The sequence below is a fragment of the Homo sapiens genome, chromosome 6 (genome assembly GCF_000001405.40).
Source record: "Homo sapiens chromosome 6, GRCh38.p14 Primary Assembly".
Taxonomy (NCBI): Eukaryota; Metazoa; Chordata; class Mammalia; order Primates; family Hominidae; genus Homo; species Homo sapiens.
Genome location: NC_000006.12, coordinates 42,408,590 through 42,425,130, shown reverse-complemented (window position 1 = coordinate 42,425,130; position 16,541 = coordinate 42,408,590). Strand labels below are relative to the sequence as shown.

The window sequence follows — 16,541 nt, the reverse complement described above, 5'->3', positions numbered from 1 at the left end:
GGCCCTTCCCTCTCTTCAGTCCAGGTTAGGAGGTACCTTGTCACTTTTACCCCCATGATAACTCAGCTGAGGAGGTCAGACCCTGAGTCACGAGCCCGGGCTTTTAATAAAATCAGGTCAGAACTTGAAGACTAACTGAGTAGTCTCATGTGCTGGGTTACTCGTGCATTCATTAATTCAACAGATACACAGAGGCTCTACTTTGTGCCACTTGCACAGTATGCAGTGGTGAAGAAAATAGTGATGGGCTTTCATCAAATAATCCCACAAATGTTTAATTATGGACAACGGTATGAGCTATGAAAGAAAAGTGTACGGAGTTAGGCTGGGAGAGGATCTCTTTTTATGATGAGACACTTAATTTCATTAGTAACCAGGGAATACAAATCACAATGAGATTCCATTTCTTCCCTGTTCGATGGGCAAACGTGAAGAAGCTGTGCAGTAGCAAGCATTGAAGAGGAGATAGGACATTATGGTCATTTAGGAGCTGCTGGTAGGCGTGTAACTTGATGCAGCTGCTTTGGAAAACAGTTGGGTAGTACAGATTGAGGATCCCTTATCCAAAATTCTTGGGACTGAAGTATTTCAGATTTTGGATTTTTTTTTGGATTTTGGAATATTTGAGATAGTATAATGCACTTGTTATATATAAACAAATGCATAAAATAATTTTATGCATGAAACAAAGCTTTGACCTCAGTTGATGCAACATGTCATGGACTGAGGTCAAGTGTAGAATTTTCCACTTGTGTTGTCATGTTGGCATTCAAGAAATTTAGGATTTTGGAACATTTCAAGTTTTCAGCTTAGGGATGTTCAACCTGTATCTTGTAATGTTGTACATTCACATACAGCATGTCCTGGCATTTCCACTTCTGGGTATACAATCATTGTGAGAAACTTGCTTACGTGGGCAGCATGTATACATGACATATACTAAGAATATTCCTAGTAGCACTCTTCATAATGGCAAAACACTGGAAAGCCAAATGCCCATCAGCTGGAGAATGGGTACATACATTGTTGTCATGTGATAGATTGTTATACAGCAGCAAAATGAATGAACAACATCTACATGTAATGGTTTGAGTGAATTTTAGTAATATAATTTTGAATTTAGAAAAACAAGACTTTGAATATTCCAAACAGCATATCTTTTTATTACATTTGAAGGTCAATAAAAACTTAAAACTACATTGTTTTGGGATGCAGATTATCTAAGAAAGCCATAAATGTTGGGGGGCAGGTTTTCGAAGGTTCCTCTTATGAGAACCACTCCCTTAAATGTGTTTGTGACAAGCTCCCCAAGTACAATGATACAGATGGGATCAAGGAGGAGTCAGCTTGGGTTTTGAAGGCAGAGTAGACATTTTTGTCATTGCTTTGGAAACTTTTTTTTTTAAATAACCCGAATTATAAAATGTTAGCAATTGGAGTATGATATTAGGTGCATATGTGTGCATTTTATTTTATTTTTTTCTTATTACCACGAATGTATTTTTTGATCACTACAAATGCAGATAGGATATGGGAAACTGTGGCTGCATCTGATATCTATGGTTTCCTGCCCATGCAAGGTGGTGCTGGGAGATCTCAGCTCTGAAAGGCTGCGTTTGCAGCCAGGTGTGTGATTCCTTGTCTCGGGGCTGCTTTCACCGTAAGGGGGACGTAGATGTGGCTGGGTGATGGGGCCTTCTCGGTTTGGTTCCAGGGTTAGCAAGCAGAGCTAGTTTAGAAATGAGTAAGAAAGGGGCACTTTCTGGTTTTAAGTTTTGGCTCAAATATGCGTACTGAAACTCTTCCTCACTTTCGCTCTTCTTATTTGATGAGTTCCATGGCATCCTAATTTGTGGAAGGACAAAGAAGGAACATGTTTGTATGAGAGAACCAGCTTTTCGAGTAGAGTTACGGATGGGCTGGAAGAAACCAAGATGAGTTCCTCTGGGGATGGATAAAGCATCCTGCATGAAGGTTCAAAAAGATGCCCATGGCTGGGCACGGTGGCTCATGCCTGTAATCCCAGCACTATGGGAGGCAGAGGCAAGCAGATCACCTGAGGTCAGGAGTTCGAGACCAGCCTGACTAACATGGAGAAACCCTGTCTCTACTAAAAATACAAAATTAGCCAGGCGTGGTGGCGCATGCCTGTAATCCCAGCTACTCGGGAGGCTGAGGCAGGAGAATCACTTGAACCCGGGAGATGGAGGTTGTGGTGAGCCAAGATCGCGCCATTGCACTCCAGCCTGGGCAACAAGAGCGAAACTCCATCTCAAAAAAAAAAAGATGCTCACGCCAGGCTGCTTGAGCTGAGGCTGTGGGGCTGTGGAGAGGCCATGGGAGAAGTAGGGCAGCTGCTAGATGATCATGGCCATCCTGGACGGCAGTGATGGAAGGGGCACAGAGTGCAGGGGAAGGAGTTGGGCAGAAAGGGGTGGAGCGAAGGGGGATTGGGCAGCCCTATCTCGTGAAATTACTGCTTGAGAGAATGAAGGATGTTTCATATGTGAGACTCTGAGGTGGAAGGTGGAGCAGAGTAGATCTGCATGGTTCCAGAAGGTAAAGCTAGAAGTGAAAGGTGGAAGGTATGGCAGGAGATTTGTATTTTTTTTTTTTTTTTTTTTTTGGAGACAGGGTCTGGCTCTGTTGCCCAGGCACGATCTCGGCTCACTGCAACCTTCGCCTCCTGGGCACAAGTGATCCACCCACCTCAGCCTTCTGAATAGCTGGAACTACAGGCATACGCCACCATACTTGGCTAACTTGTATTTTTTGTAGAGACAGGGTTTTGTCATGTTGGCCAGGCTGTTCTTGAACTCCTGAGCTCAAGCAATCTGCCTGCCTTGGCCTCCCAGAGTGCCAGGATTACAGGTGTGAGCCACTGTGCCCGGCTAGGAGGAGAGATTTGGTCTTAGTATAAGTTAGTGTTTTTCTTTTCTTTTCTTTCTTTTTTTTTAATGAGATGGAGTCTCACTCTGTCTCCCAGGCTAGAGTGCAGTGGCATGATCTTGGCTCACTGCAACCTCTGTCTCCTGGGTTCAAACGATTCTTCCTGCCTCAGCCTCCCACATAGCTGGGACTACAGGTGCACGCCACCACGCCTGGCTAATTTTTTTTGTATTTTTAGTAGAGAGAGGGTTTCACCATGTTGGCCAGGTTGGTCTCGAACTCCTGACCTCAAGTGAGCCGCCTGGCTCAGCCTCCCAAAGTGCTGGGATTACAGGCGTGAGCCACCACACGCGGCCAGTGTTTCTCAAACTGTGATTTGCAATCTATTTGTCAGTTGTGCAATCAAGTTAGTGATCAAGACCAGCAATTTTATTTATTTAATTTAATTAATTAATTAATTAATTAATTTTGAGACAGCATTGCTCTGTCGCCCAGGCTGGAGTGTAACTGCACGATCTCAGTTTATTGCAACCTCTGCCTCTGGGGTTCAAGCAGTTCTCCTGCCTCAGCCTCCCGATTAGCCGGGACTACAGGCGTGCACCACCATGCCTGGCTAACTTTTTGTATTTTAGTAGAGACGGGGTCTTGCCATTTTGTCTAGGCTGGTTTTGAACTCCTGAGTTCAGGCAATCCGCCTGCCTCAGCCTCCCAAAGTGTTAGGATTACAGGAGTGAGCCACTGTGCCCAGCCAAGACCAGCAGTTTTTAAAAAGGAAATGAATAGAAAGGAAAGAGGAAAGTAGGGAAAAAAAAGTCTGAGTGGACCAGATGAACATGGGTCAGCATTTGTTTCTTGAAAATATTTGTCTAGTTTTATATATTTATGTGTATATAGAGATATTTTATGTGCTGGGTCATGATATAAAGTGTAATTAATTAGTGAGAGTAAGAATGGAAAAAAGTTTGAAAGCCATTGTTCCAAGCTACCATTTAATAATATTACCTGCTGTTTATTGATCACTTAGACTACTATGGAAGGCACTTTGCCAAGTGCGCTCTATACATTCACTCATTGAAATCTCACAACGACCCAATGAGGTAGGCATTAGTGTTACCATTACAGAGATGAGGAAATTCAAGTTCAAAGAGACTGAATGACTTTCCCAGGGTCATGGAGCATGTAAGAGGCTGAGCCTGGAATTGAACCTGAGCCCAGCTTTCTCAAAAGCCTGTGCATATTCACTACCTTCTACTGTAGGAAGAACCGTGGATGGAGCTGTCCTCCAAAATGGCCTGGGCTGTCTGGAAAAGGGCTGAAAAAGCGGGAAGTGTTCGGGCAGAGGCTGGGTGGCCCCCTGTCAGGGACAGTGGAAGCAGAATTCTTGTCCACCTTCTTCTACCTCAGTGGGAGATTGGATTGGATCATAGTAATCCCCCCATGACTTACATGACAGCATCCAAGACTCATCCTGTACCATCACTCTAAAGTCAATCCCAACTCCTGGGTTTGATTCTTGATTGAAATATGATTTAATTAAACATATTTAGGTTTGTTTATAGGTGAGATTTTCTTTTAATAAGTTTCCTGATTTTTCTGTAACAAATGTACATTTATTTTATGATTTTAAAAGTTATTAAAAATAAAATGTTTTCTGATTCTCTCTAATAAGCATGAATTAACTTTATAATTTCTATAATTTAAAAAAGTCATTAAAAATAAAATACCGCAATGCAACAAAAAACTCTAATTAAGAATTCTTCCTGGCAAGTTTTTGAGAGGCTGCCGGCAGCATTCTGTTCCTCCTCTTGTGTGGGCTGGGGAAGCTCTGGGTGGACCACGGGAGGCGATTGGTGGATGGGTTCTTTGTGGACTGGAGCTTCTTATCAGGTTCCTGGACCAGCCCATCCTCCCTGCAGAGACCAGGATGAGGCAGGGGCCATAGTTTAGGGGGCCTCTTTTCTGTTTTAGCTACAAAGTGAAGTGCCTATTGATTCTGCTTAAAGCTGGAAAGGATCTGAGAAAGTATCTCCACTAACCCCTTCATTTAGGGAAGAGGAAACTAAGTCCTGGGAAGGGAGGTGACTTTGCTTTGCCGTCCTCCCATCTCATGGATAGCAGAACAGGAGAAGCTCCTAGGTAGGTTAAATCACATTGCTTCCCCAAGAGAAAGAGGGCGCTAGAGGTTGGTTGAGGTTGTGGGGAGAATAAAGAACAAATAAAAGACAAATCTTCTAATGCTAATTTCATTGAGGAATTCCAAAATGGAGGTGAAGGGAGTGTGATTTAGTGGAAAGAACCTCTGCTTGGCAGTTGGGGGACCTGAGCTGTGGTTTCAGCATTAACACCCAGTGTGTAATCTCAGGTGAGTTACCCACCCGTGGCCATTGGAGGACAGGTTAATTCTTGTTCCTCACATTCTGCCCAGTCAACACCACGGCAGGAGTGCTTGCCCTGAGCAGGGTACATCCTCAGCCTTGTTTCCTTCCAGAGCCAATGACCTAATCCCCACCATGGAGTTGTCATTAGTTATGTGCTGTAGAACTGTGGGCCCAAGTATAGGACATTCTCCAAATCCGTGGGTGCCAGCCACTAGGGACCTTAAGGTTTGGTTGCTGCATAAGCTTGGAGTGCTATATCTCCTCTTGTAGCAGCTCTCAAGTTCAGGGATTGTGTCTTGTGAATCCCCCCAGTGTATAGTAAGGTGCTGAGGTTCTGCGCACTTTAGAACCCTAATTTGTTGGCACATGTTGGGGGATGGGTAGGAGGGTTAATTTTGTGAGTCGCATGGAGGTGGGGTCCAGGTCTGCCTTCGGACATGCAGGCCACAGGCATGCGCTTGAAACACAGGCTGCCTGATTTCAGAATCGAGCCATGATGGGGAGCACTGTGGTTTGTGAGGGGGGTTGATCTGAACCGGTCACTCTGTGCCTAAGCAGGTGACCTGAGTGAGGAGAGGGGACTCAGCAGAAGCCGGGGCGGGGGGTGGGGTGGGGCGGTGGGGGGAAGTAGAAACTTCTTCCAGGTTTTGAATTATCTAAAGAGATGGAGACAGGAAAGAAGTCTCTGGGATTGTGGCAGTTCATATCAGTTTCCAGAATCTTCTCAAATAGTTCGTTTAAAAAGCTACTACTTTTCTCTGGCACGGGCCATCCTGGATATGGGATTCTCACTGGTTAAGTGCATTTTCCCTTGACCCGGGTTGTAACGTAGCTTGACTGATGGCCTCAGCTGGGAGGAGAAGTGAATGCATTGTTGTTCAGGTTTGTTTTACACCCTGTTATCAAGGCTAATAATATGATGCTTTAAGGCTTTATGACTTGATTAGTGGCATCAGTACTTGAAAGAGCTGGCTTAGGGCACTGTGAGAGGTTACATGAAGGTAATTAGACAGCAGTTGTGAAATGCAGGGGGTGGTTTCCATTTACTATTGGCTTTAAGGCAGCCCTGCCTGTTACTGAACCCCCAGCATGAATCTTTTGAATAGAAAATGAGTTGATTAGTTTGGGTGCTCTGCCGCAGGCCACAGGCAGCCCCCAGTTCTCTCTCTGCCTGTGGTTAGTGCCCTTAATCAACTACCTACGAGCCCACTAGAGCCTTAGTATAATCTAGTACTCAAAGCACAGTCCCTGCACCAGCAGCATCACCTGGGAGCTGTTTAGAAATAAACGCAGGGCCAGGCACGGTGGCTCACGCCTGTAACCCCAGCACTTTGGGAGGCTGAGGCGGGTGGATCACCTGATGTCAGGAGTTCGAGACCAGCCTGGCCAACATGGTGAAACCCCATGTCTACTGAAAATACAAAAAATTAGTCAGGCATGGTGGCATGTGCCTGTAATCCCAGCTACTCAGGAGGCTGAGGTAGGAGAATTGCTTGAACCCGGGAGGCAGAGGTTGCAGTGAGCCAAGATCGCGCCATTGAACTCTAGCTGGGGCTACAAGAGCGAAACTCCATCTCGGAAAAAAAAAAAAAAAAAAGAAAGAAAGAAAGAGCAAAACTCCATCTCAAAAAAAAAAAAAAAAAAAGGAAAGAAAAAGAAAGAAGGAGAGAAAGAGAGAAAGAACGAATGAACCAACGAACCAACCTCTGGTCCCATCCACAGTTGTGTAATCAGAATCTGCAGTTTTAACAAGACCTTCAGGTGATTGGGTGCACGTCAAGTTTGAGAAGTGCTGGGCTAGCACAGATGCCCCCTGAGGTTAGAGATTTGTGGCAATGTGGTTTTTATTGTGTAGTGCAGTAAAAGATTTAAACCCTAGTGCTGTGGTATGATTCCAGTCTGCTCTCTGTCATTAGAGCCTGGAATTGTATGTGTGTGTGTTCATTGTCACTTGTGGCATCAGCGCAGGGTTGTGGTTTATTCACCCTCTGCAGCTCACCGAGTTCTTGGCGCAGCTAGCCATTTCTTTGAATGCAAGTCTGGCATCATAGACTGTTGGGGGGGTGTGACCAAAACACCACTTTCTTCCTGTTACTCCCTGGAGCCCACAGGGGCTCTGGTTGTCTGCTGTGTCATGTCCAAACCTCTTGCTGGGGCTCCAGGGCCCATGTGTTCCAGGTTTATCTGGCCCCTGCTCTGGCCAGGCAGATGGGCAGATGCCGGTCTTCAGCCTTGCCCTCTGTCTCTTGCTGGATGTGGGTTTCCTGGCCGGCCAGTCGTTCCTCCTCTTTATACCCTTGGACCACTCTCTGCTGCACTGTTTAGTGCCTCATCATACTGGGCTGTTTCCTGGGGGGCTTTTTGTTAATTGTGGACAGGTCCTAACCCTTCACTCAGGTGACACACTCTTAGAGGGCAGGACCGGTGTATAACAGGTGCCTCAGCCTCTGCCGGGTGCCTGGTGGACAGGCATACACATGGATCCCTTCATACTGTGCATAGGAGGCAGAGGATTTGGAGTGAGTGGAGTGGGGTCCGTGGGGTAGGGGCTGGTGAAGGCTCAGAAAAAGAAGCCCAGACAAAATTAGAAGGGCCTCCACTGAGAGGGGAATGGGCCATTTGGCTACATAAGAGAAGGTAAGGCGAGTTTCAGCAGTCCTTCCCTGATGGCATTGGAGATGGGGTGGGCAGGGTTAGCCCCCATGTTGCTTTGGAGTATGTTTCTGGTTTGTTGCAAACCTGTCTGTCCTCTTTTTTTGTGAGTCTGTTGGTGAGAAAAGATGAGGCCTTAAAAAGGGCAGGGAGGAGGGGTGCAGTAGCTAGGAACCAGGCTGGCTGGGCGTTGTCCTGGTAAGGTTTGGGGTGGAGGCTATATTTACTTCTTATAGTGATGCTGGTAGGATCTTTTTCTATGTTTAGAAATAGTTTATATAACATGAAAGTATGTGTTCTTAAAAAAAACACACACAAAAAACCCAGACACTAGAATAGAATAAAATTTTAACAGACCAATTACCATAGAAGAAATGGAGAAAGTTATCAGAGCTATTCCTTAAAATAGTCCCAGGACCAGATGGTTTCACAGGTAAATGTTTTCAAATATTGAAGGTACAGGTGATTCTAATGCCATTTACATTGTCCTAAAGCAGAGAAAGAGCGCTTAAATTCTTTTTATGAAGCTAGTGTAACAAAATGTGACAAAAAAACAGGTGTGCACACAGAGCCACAAAGTGGTCTCTGTTTTGAATACTGAAGATGCGACATTCTAATAACATAATTAGAACCCAGCAGCCCATTTAAAGAACTCCATGGTCACGGGAGTTCCAGAACAGGAAGGTAAGGATAGGTTAACTTTAGGATTTCTGTTAATAAAAATTCATTGTATTAAAGGATCTAAGGAGAAAATAAGATGCTGAAAAGGTTTATGAAAAATTACACATCCGTTTCTAATAAAAACTGCTATAGAAATAATTGGATACCTCCTCAACATGGGAAAATACATTTTTGTCAAGCAAGTAGCCAAAATTTTGCTTAGTATTAAAATGGTGAATGCTAGATGCATTCCCATTAAAATCCCGATTAAACACCATAATTATATAACCTTGTTCTGGTGGGGATAAGCTGGTGTAATTAGATAAGAGGTATAAAACCTAGAAGGAAAAGGCAAAACTAAAAGACAAACAAGAGAATTCAGTAAGGTAGTTTGGTGCATAGTTAATGCACAAAAATCAGTAGTACTCCCCCATAAATATCCAGCTAGAAAATATGATGGAAGAAAAAAAATCCCACTTGTATAAGCAACAGAAGAGATAAAATATCTAGTTATAAGCTTAATAAAATTATATTAACATATAATCTCAGCACTACCAACGGGCATAAAAGACTTAAAGAGAAAAATAATATAATCTTGGCTAGAAAGAGTCAGTGTTATAAAAGTGTCACTTTTCCTATACATGTGAAGTGTGATCATAATAAAATTACCACTAGGATTATTTTGGGTGTAGAAAAGCTGGTTCTAAGTTCATATGGAAAAATTAGCATGCATGAAAAATATAAAAAAGAAAAAGGAAGTTCTAGCTCTGATACATGGTAAACATTTTAAAAAACTACAATAACTAAGATCACTTGGTACTAATTGGCTGAATAAGTGATGGGACAGAATAGTGAGCCCAAAATAAATAAGGGTGTGTGTATACATGTGTGTATTTTGTGATAAACGCAGTATTTCAAATGTATGGAAAAATATAGGATCTTCATAACCAGATAGCTATCTGAGAGATAAGAAAGAGCAGGATCCCTAATACATGCCTTAGACCAGAATAAGCCTATCAAACATAGGTCAAATGGTTAAATAAAGAATGAAAGCGTAAAAGCCATAGAAGAATTTTTCTGTTGTCTTGGAGTAGAGAGACCTTCCTAAGTTTGACACAAATCCCAGAAGCTATAACATAAAAGACTGATACATTTGACAACATCAAAATGAGATCCACTTCATAAGAGTAACACTGTAAACAAAGTCAAAAGATACATGATAATCTGAGAAAAATAATTTGGAAAAAATATGATAAAAGGAGTTAATTTTCTTAATATACAAAGAGCCCTTAAAAATAAATAAAAAGGGTCATTAATTGAAAAATGGGCAAAAGGACATGGATAGAAATTCACAGAAAAGAAGTGTAAGTGGTTCTTAAATATATGAAAAGACCCACAACCCTCTTATAATAAAAAGTACAAATCAGAGCTGCAATAAGAAGGCATTTGTAACCTATCAGATTGGAAGAGATCAAAATATTTAATAATACACTGATTTGGTGACAGTGTAAAGAAAAATTACTTTCATACATTGCTGGTGAGAGTAAATGGATACGATTGCTTTGGAAGGCAATTTGTGATATTTATCTAAATTATGAATGCCCATCTCTTAGAACCCAGCAGTTCCACTAATAGGTATCTGTCCTAGAGAAACACTCACATGTACAATGTTCATTGGACATTATTGTAATCATGGAAAATTGAAGACAACAATGTAAATATCCATCAGTGGGAGATGGGCTAAATAAAACCTGGGTTGTTCAGACCTTTAGTGCGTCAATAAAATACCTTAGTGGGTTTTGACACCGTGTGAAACAAAAGAATAGAAGATAACGGAGTGCATTGCACATAATGTGGCTGAATAATTGGTGAGCTTTTGTTTCAGTTTTGTGTATTCACAAATGTGAACTGGATTGCAATGTAAAGTGTATTTCTTACTGTGTGATTCAGTCAAAAAAGTTGGAAAACACTGCAAGAGTAGTTAAAAGGAATATATTAAGTTAGTAACTAGTCGTAAGACTAGATCTCAGAAACGTAATTTGGAGTGAAAAAAGCAAGTTGCAGAGTAATAGTACAGGGTGACACTATTTTTGAAAAAAGAAAACGCACAAAACGATATCATGTTTTTGACAGTATAATATTTTTGATGGAATCACTTATTCATGCAAAAGAGGCCTGAAAGCTGTGAACCAGGCTTGTAACAGAGGTGCCCTCTTGGGACAGAGTGGTATTGAGAGAGGCCTACACTTTATGGCGCATTAAAAAAAAGTGTGAATGTTTTGCCTGTATATTTAAGTGGCTAAAAAATGTTTACACATTATTGAAAGACCCTCCAAGGATGCTTTAAGTCCAGATGCTTTCCCCTTGGTTGTTTTTCACTTACTTGTTGCTGCTCAGTTTGTGTCTCTCCTTTTGCTTTCATTTGGGTGTCTTGTAAATTTTTAAGTACCGCCCTGTTGATTTTGTCTTTCAAAGTTATTATCTGAAGATTGCACATAAAATTCCTTGTATCAGTGGCACTTTTATTGGGTCTTTGTGTTTCTTTTCTAACTTTTCCAGTTTATTCCTTTGAAATTAATTGGGCCCATGGTTTATTAATTTCACGAAAAATTTTCTTCCCCAAAGGGCCAACTTTTGGCTTTCCTTCTCTTCCCTGACATTTGCTCACATTCTTGTTACTTGTATTTTCACTTTTAATTTTTCTTTTATCTTTCATTTTTTTCTTATGTAAATTTTGGCCAACGCAAGCACAGCAGTGCTTCTCAAACTTTAAGGTGCACACGAAGCTCCTTGGGTCTAGAGCTCTTGTTAAAACGCAGATTCTGGGCTGCCGCGGTGGCCCACGCCTGTAATCCCAACACTTTGGGAGGCTGTGGCGGGCGGATCACGAGGTCAAGAGATCAAGACCATCCTGGCCAACATGGTGAAACCCCATCTCTACTAAAAATACAAAAATTAGCTGGGCATGGTGGCGCGCACCTATAGACCCAGCTACTCAGGAGGCTGAGGCAGGAGAATCACTTGAACCCAAGAGGCGGAGGTTGCAGTGAGCTGAGATAGTGCCTCTGCACTCCAGCCTGGTGACAGAGTAAGACTCTGTCTCAAAAAAAAAAAAAAAAAAAATGCAGATTCTGATCCAGTAAGTGCGAATGAGGCCCCAGATGCGTTTCTAACCAGCTCCAGATGGGGTCTACCTTTGGGGAGTGAGAAAGTAGAGAAAATGATACCTGTTCCTCCACTGATATTAGGTGGAGGATATTAAGTGATATTAAGTGATACTAAGTACCCAAGTATCCAGTATTGAACGAATACACCAACTGTTAAAAAGATGATACTTCTAACTATTGCAATGAAATTCATCCTGTTTTCTATTGAAGTGGTGAAGATGAGATGCCCTGACCCACCTAATCACTTTTTTTGGCTTCATTAGTGGCCGTATTCTTTCTAGATGGTCCGAGAGGGTAGAAGATGGTTTGTGGCTACAAAATTTCTTTGGGCACATTTGGTCGGTTGACCTGACTGCTTTGGCTAAGCATTGCTGTCCTAGCCTCCACTGATTTAGCTGAGTTTTCTTTTCTTTTTATTTATTTTTGACACAGGGCCCCACCCTGTCACCCAGATTGGAGTACAATGGCACAGCCATAGTTCACTGACTCAGACTCCTCACAGCTTCAGACTTCTGGGTTCAAGTGATCCTCCCACCTCAGCCTCCCTAGTAGCTGGGATGACAGACACATGGCTGTCATGTCTGGCTAATTTTTTTAAATTAATTAATTTTTTTTTGTTTTTGTAGAGACAAGCATCTCACCATGTTTCCCAGGCTGATCTTGAACTCCTGGCCTCAAGTGATCCTCCTGCCTCAGCTTCCCAAAGTTCTGGGATTACAGGCATGAGCCGTCATGCCCCACCACTGAGCTGACTTTGTAGGTCCATTTGGATCAGTTAGTTGTTAGTTGTTCTTAACATTTTTGGTGGCTGACAGACTTCTTTGGGAATATGATGGAGGCCATGGACTTTCTCTTCAGAAACATTCCCCAATTTTGTATTCATGCACACCAAACTCCTGGTTTTTATTTCGCCTGTGTGAGCTGCAAACCTCCTAAAGCCTGGCTAGTTATGACCATACATAGGACCCCTGATTTAAATGGTGCTGTTAAGACTGTACTTTCAGGAATCATTTCTATAGTTCATTACTAGAGAAATTTCTCTGAACATGTAGAGCACCAGAAAATATTTTTAAAGATTTCTTTAGGCTGGGCGTGGTGGCTCACGCCTGTAATCCCAGCACTTTGGGAGGCCGAAGTGGGCGGATCATCTGAGGTCGGGAGTTCGAGACCAGCCTGACTAACATGGAGAAACCCTGTCTCTACTGAAAATACCAAAATTAGCCAGGCATGGTGGCGCATGCCTGTAATCCCAGCTACTTGGGAGGCTGAGGCAGGAGAATCGTTTGAACCCGGGAGGCGGAGTTTGTGGTGAGCCGAGATCGCACCATTGCACTCCAGCCTGGGCAACAAGAGCAAAACTCCGTCTCAAAAAAAAAAAAAAAAAGGATTTTTTAAAAAAATTCAAATAATTGGTGGTGTTAAGGCAAAGAATCCCCAAATGAAAAACAGAATCCACGGTGTCTGCAGAAGCCATCTGGTCCAGCCGTGTTCATTTACAGATAAGAAAACCAAAGGCCAAGATTTTCAGACATTTATTCAAAGTCAGATTCTCCATGTTCCACAGCCTCCCTCCCATTCTGAGTGCAGCTGATGTTGCCCATGGTGGGAAGCCTGTGTCACTACACGTTGGTTCTCTGTGGGGTCTGTTGGGCTGAGTGGTGCACACCCATCCAGACCCTGCCTGCCTCATCCCTGGTGAGGGCAGCTCCTTGGCTTATTTCCTTCAGCCAAGCCCTGCCCTCAGGTCTTATAGTCATGTCTGGTCTGAGGAAACGGAGACTCAGATCCCTTCTGGCTAGGATTCTGGGCTCAGACACTATTCTGGCTTTGACATGGCAGGGCCTCCTGCCTCGTTCCTGTGTCCCGTTTCCTTCTCTGAGTCTCAGTTCTTCTAAGAGGCTTCTGTGTTAGTTCCTGTTCTGCTAACGTGCCTGATATCCAGGTCCCGAATTGGGACCAAGACCCTGTCCTGTCCCTTTGTTAGTGATAACCAGGTGTGGTGGGGAGACATGGGTTTGAATTCTAGCTCATCTGCTTACTGGCTGTGTGACTCTGGGTAAATTACTTAACCCTCCCGGACCTCAGTTTCTTTATGTATGAGACAGGAGCAATAGAATATACCTGACAGGGTGGTCATAGAACCAGTGCACAGTGTTTATTGATAACTAGTAGCTGGCATCACTAGTCCTACTCTCAGGGGTTGGAATCTTGCCCAGTCCAGCCGGATGGATGGAGCCTTAGTAACCTTCAATAGATGTCCTGATGCCTGAGTTGCAGAGGGTTGCCCATCCTGACTTCCCCCATCATAGAGCTTTGCCCACTTGTTGGGACTATTCATAATTTTGTTCTAGGCTGTCCCCTTCCCCACAGTCCCTGTGAGCCCAGCCAGCTAGAGATTGCCAGCATCTCTCCAGACAGGAGGCCTGCCCACTGGACCACAGCTTCTCTGTATGTGCTTGGAACTGAGTGGGCTTGTCCATGCCCTGCTCATTTCAAGAAGGAAATTACAGATCAATTTCATGTAAACACACAGCTGCAGAAGTCATCAGTGGAATAAATAAATAGGTGAATGACTTAACTAGGAAATGTTTATTGCACATCTACCATCCAGTAGCCATAGTAGTTAGCCCTGGTGATATACCATGTCTCTGTCCTCAGGGCACTGAGTCCTGAGGGGAATCAGACACATGGCCATTGATTGATTGCATTACAGTCCCTGTGTTAAATGAATGTGGTGATGGAGGGAGGGGGGACTGAGGAGCCTCCAACTCTACTTCAGAAAGGCGAGGGTAAAAAAATAAAGGTGAGGTTTGGGAAGGCTTCACAGAGGAGATGTTTGATTTGGGTTTTGGAGGTTGATATCTCAGTATTCTTTATTAATTTTTCCAGATGAATTTTATGGTCACTGAATGGGCTCTTTAAAAAATGAGTGTTGAGATCAGGTACAGTGGCTCACGCCTGTAATCCCAGCCCTTTGGGAACCTGACAGGGGAGGATTGCTTGAGCCCAGGAGTTCTAGACTAGTCTGGGCAACATAGTGAGACCCCATCTCTACAGAAAGTTAAAAAAAAAATTAGCCAGGCACAGTGGTGCATACCTGTGATTCCAGCTATTTGGGAGGAATCGCATGGTGGGAGGATTGCTTGAGCCCCAGAGGCTGAGACTCTGTGAGCCCTGATCATGCCACAGCACTCCAGCTTAGGTGACAGAGTGAGACCCTGTCTCAAAAAAAGAGTCTTGAAATATCACCAAGCAAGGCTCGTCTCAGGAATATAAGTCTGATTCAACACAGAGAGGCCAATATTAATAGAAAGAAATCATAAAAATCGGAATACCTATTATTCAGCACGGTGCCTGAAATATAATCAGTCAACAAATGTTTGATGGATGAATGAATTTGGTCTCAGTGGATGTAGAAAAATACTGGAAATAATTACATATGCATTATAAAGCATCAGAAGAGTAAAAAAATAGGTGTGTTGGGGGATTTACCCCTATGTAGGATAAAGAGCCTGTTTGTGTATAACCGTGTAGCAATCCTTACACAGGGGCTGCAGATACTGAGTGGGGAAATACTAGAAGTGTGCCCTGAAAAACAGGAACTAAACCAAAATGCCCCTTATCTCTACTCTTATTTAACATAGTTTAACAGATGCTTGTCATAACAATATAGGAACAAAGAGAAACTAGAGGGATTGGTATAGGGAAGGAAGAGATAAAAATATCGCTGTTTGCAAATGACACAATTTTTATTCAAAGAAAATTACAAAATCCTACATGGCTGCTTCTGATCAGAAATTAAAGCATTAAAGGGTCAGCATTCCAAAGTTTATGCCTAGATTTCATGCCCTTTTGGCATTTAAAATTCCAGTGAAATACTTCATAATGCAAGAACATGATAATTATAATAATAATCAGGAAAAATTGGTGGACATGCATATCAAAGGATGTTTTGAAAATCTTTTAGGAGCAAGACTTCTCTAAGCAAACAAGGCAGGCAAGCAGTAGTTATTAAAATTGTACAATAGTAGGATAAAGCAGGAAAATGGAAGATCAGTACAATAAATAGATCTAAATGAATGGAAGACATTTATTTATTTATTTATTTTGAGACTGGGTCTCACTGCACCCAGGCTGGAGTGCAGTGGCGTGATCACGGCTCACTGCAGCCTCAACTTCCTGGGCGCAGGCAATCTTCCCACCTCAGCCTCTTGAGTAGCTGGGACTACAGGCATACACCACCATGCCCAGCTAATTTTTTGTAGAGACAGGATTTTGTCATGTTGCCTGGGATGGTCTTGAACTCCTGGGCTCAATTATCTTCCTGCTTCAGCCTCCCGAATTGTTGGGATTACAGGCATGAGCCACCGCGCCTGACCTGGAAGACATTTATATATGACAAATTTGGAGAGGCAAACAATAGTGAAAGAAATAATTTTACAATAAATAGCTCTTGGGAAAAACTAGATAACAGTGTGGAAAAAGTGAACTCAGATTTATATCTCACATCATATGTTATAAATTTTAGATGTATTAAAAAGTTAGTTTTACAAACTCTTAAAACTCAGAGGAAGCAGGTGGTATTTTTTCCTCGAGAGCAAATGTGTTTGAAAATTCCATAAAAATGATCATTAATGGAATGAGATGTGTTCAACTATAAAGGAATAAAATCTATAAGATAAAAATAATAAAATCATGTTAAAGGATGTCAGGGTGCGGTGGCTCATGCCTGTAATCCCAGCACTTTGAGAGGCCAAGGTGGGTGGATCACCTGAAGTCAGGAGTTGGAGATCAG

General features: G+C 42.8%; 1 protein-coding gene and 1 pseudogene across 52 annotated transcripts in view, besides 1 other annotated feature; both read left to right on the top strand.

Moving 5' to 3' along the window:
- Window positions 1-16,541, top strand: part of TRERF1 (transcriptional regulating factor 1) — a 227,294-nt gene that overhangs the window by 27,094 nt on the left and 183,659 nt on the right. The gene's annotated exons all lie outside the window — the stretch shown is intronic.
- Window positions 1,523-1,572: an enhancer, noted in NCBI's record as "active region_24553". NCBI's record gives its function as "activates an Ori minimal core promoter by ATAC-STARR-seq in GM12878 lymphoblastoid cells {active_cell/tissue: GM12878}" and the evidence as "EXISTENCE:reporter gene assay evidence [ECO:0000049][PMID:35858748]".
- LOC124901512 (uncharacterized) lies at window positions 12,735-12,814 on the top strand (annotated as a pseudogene).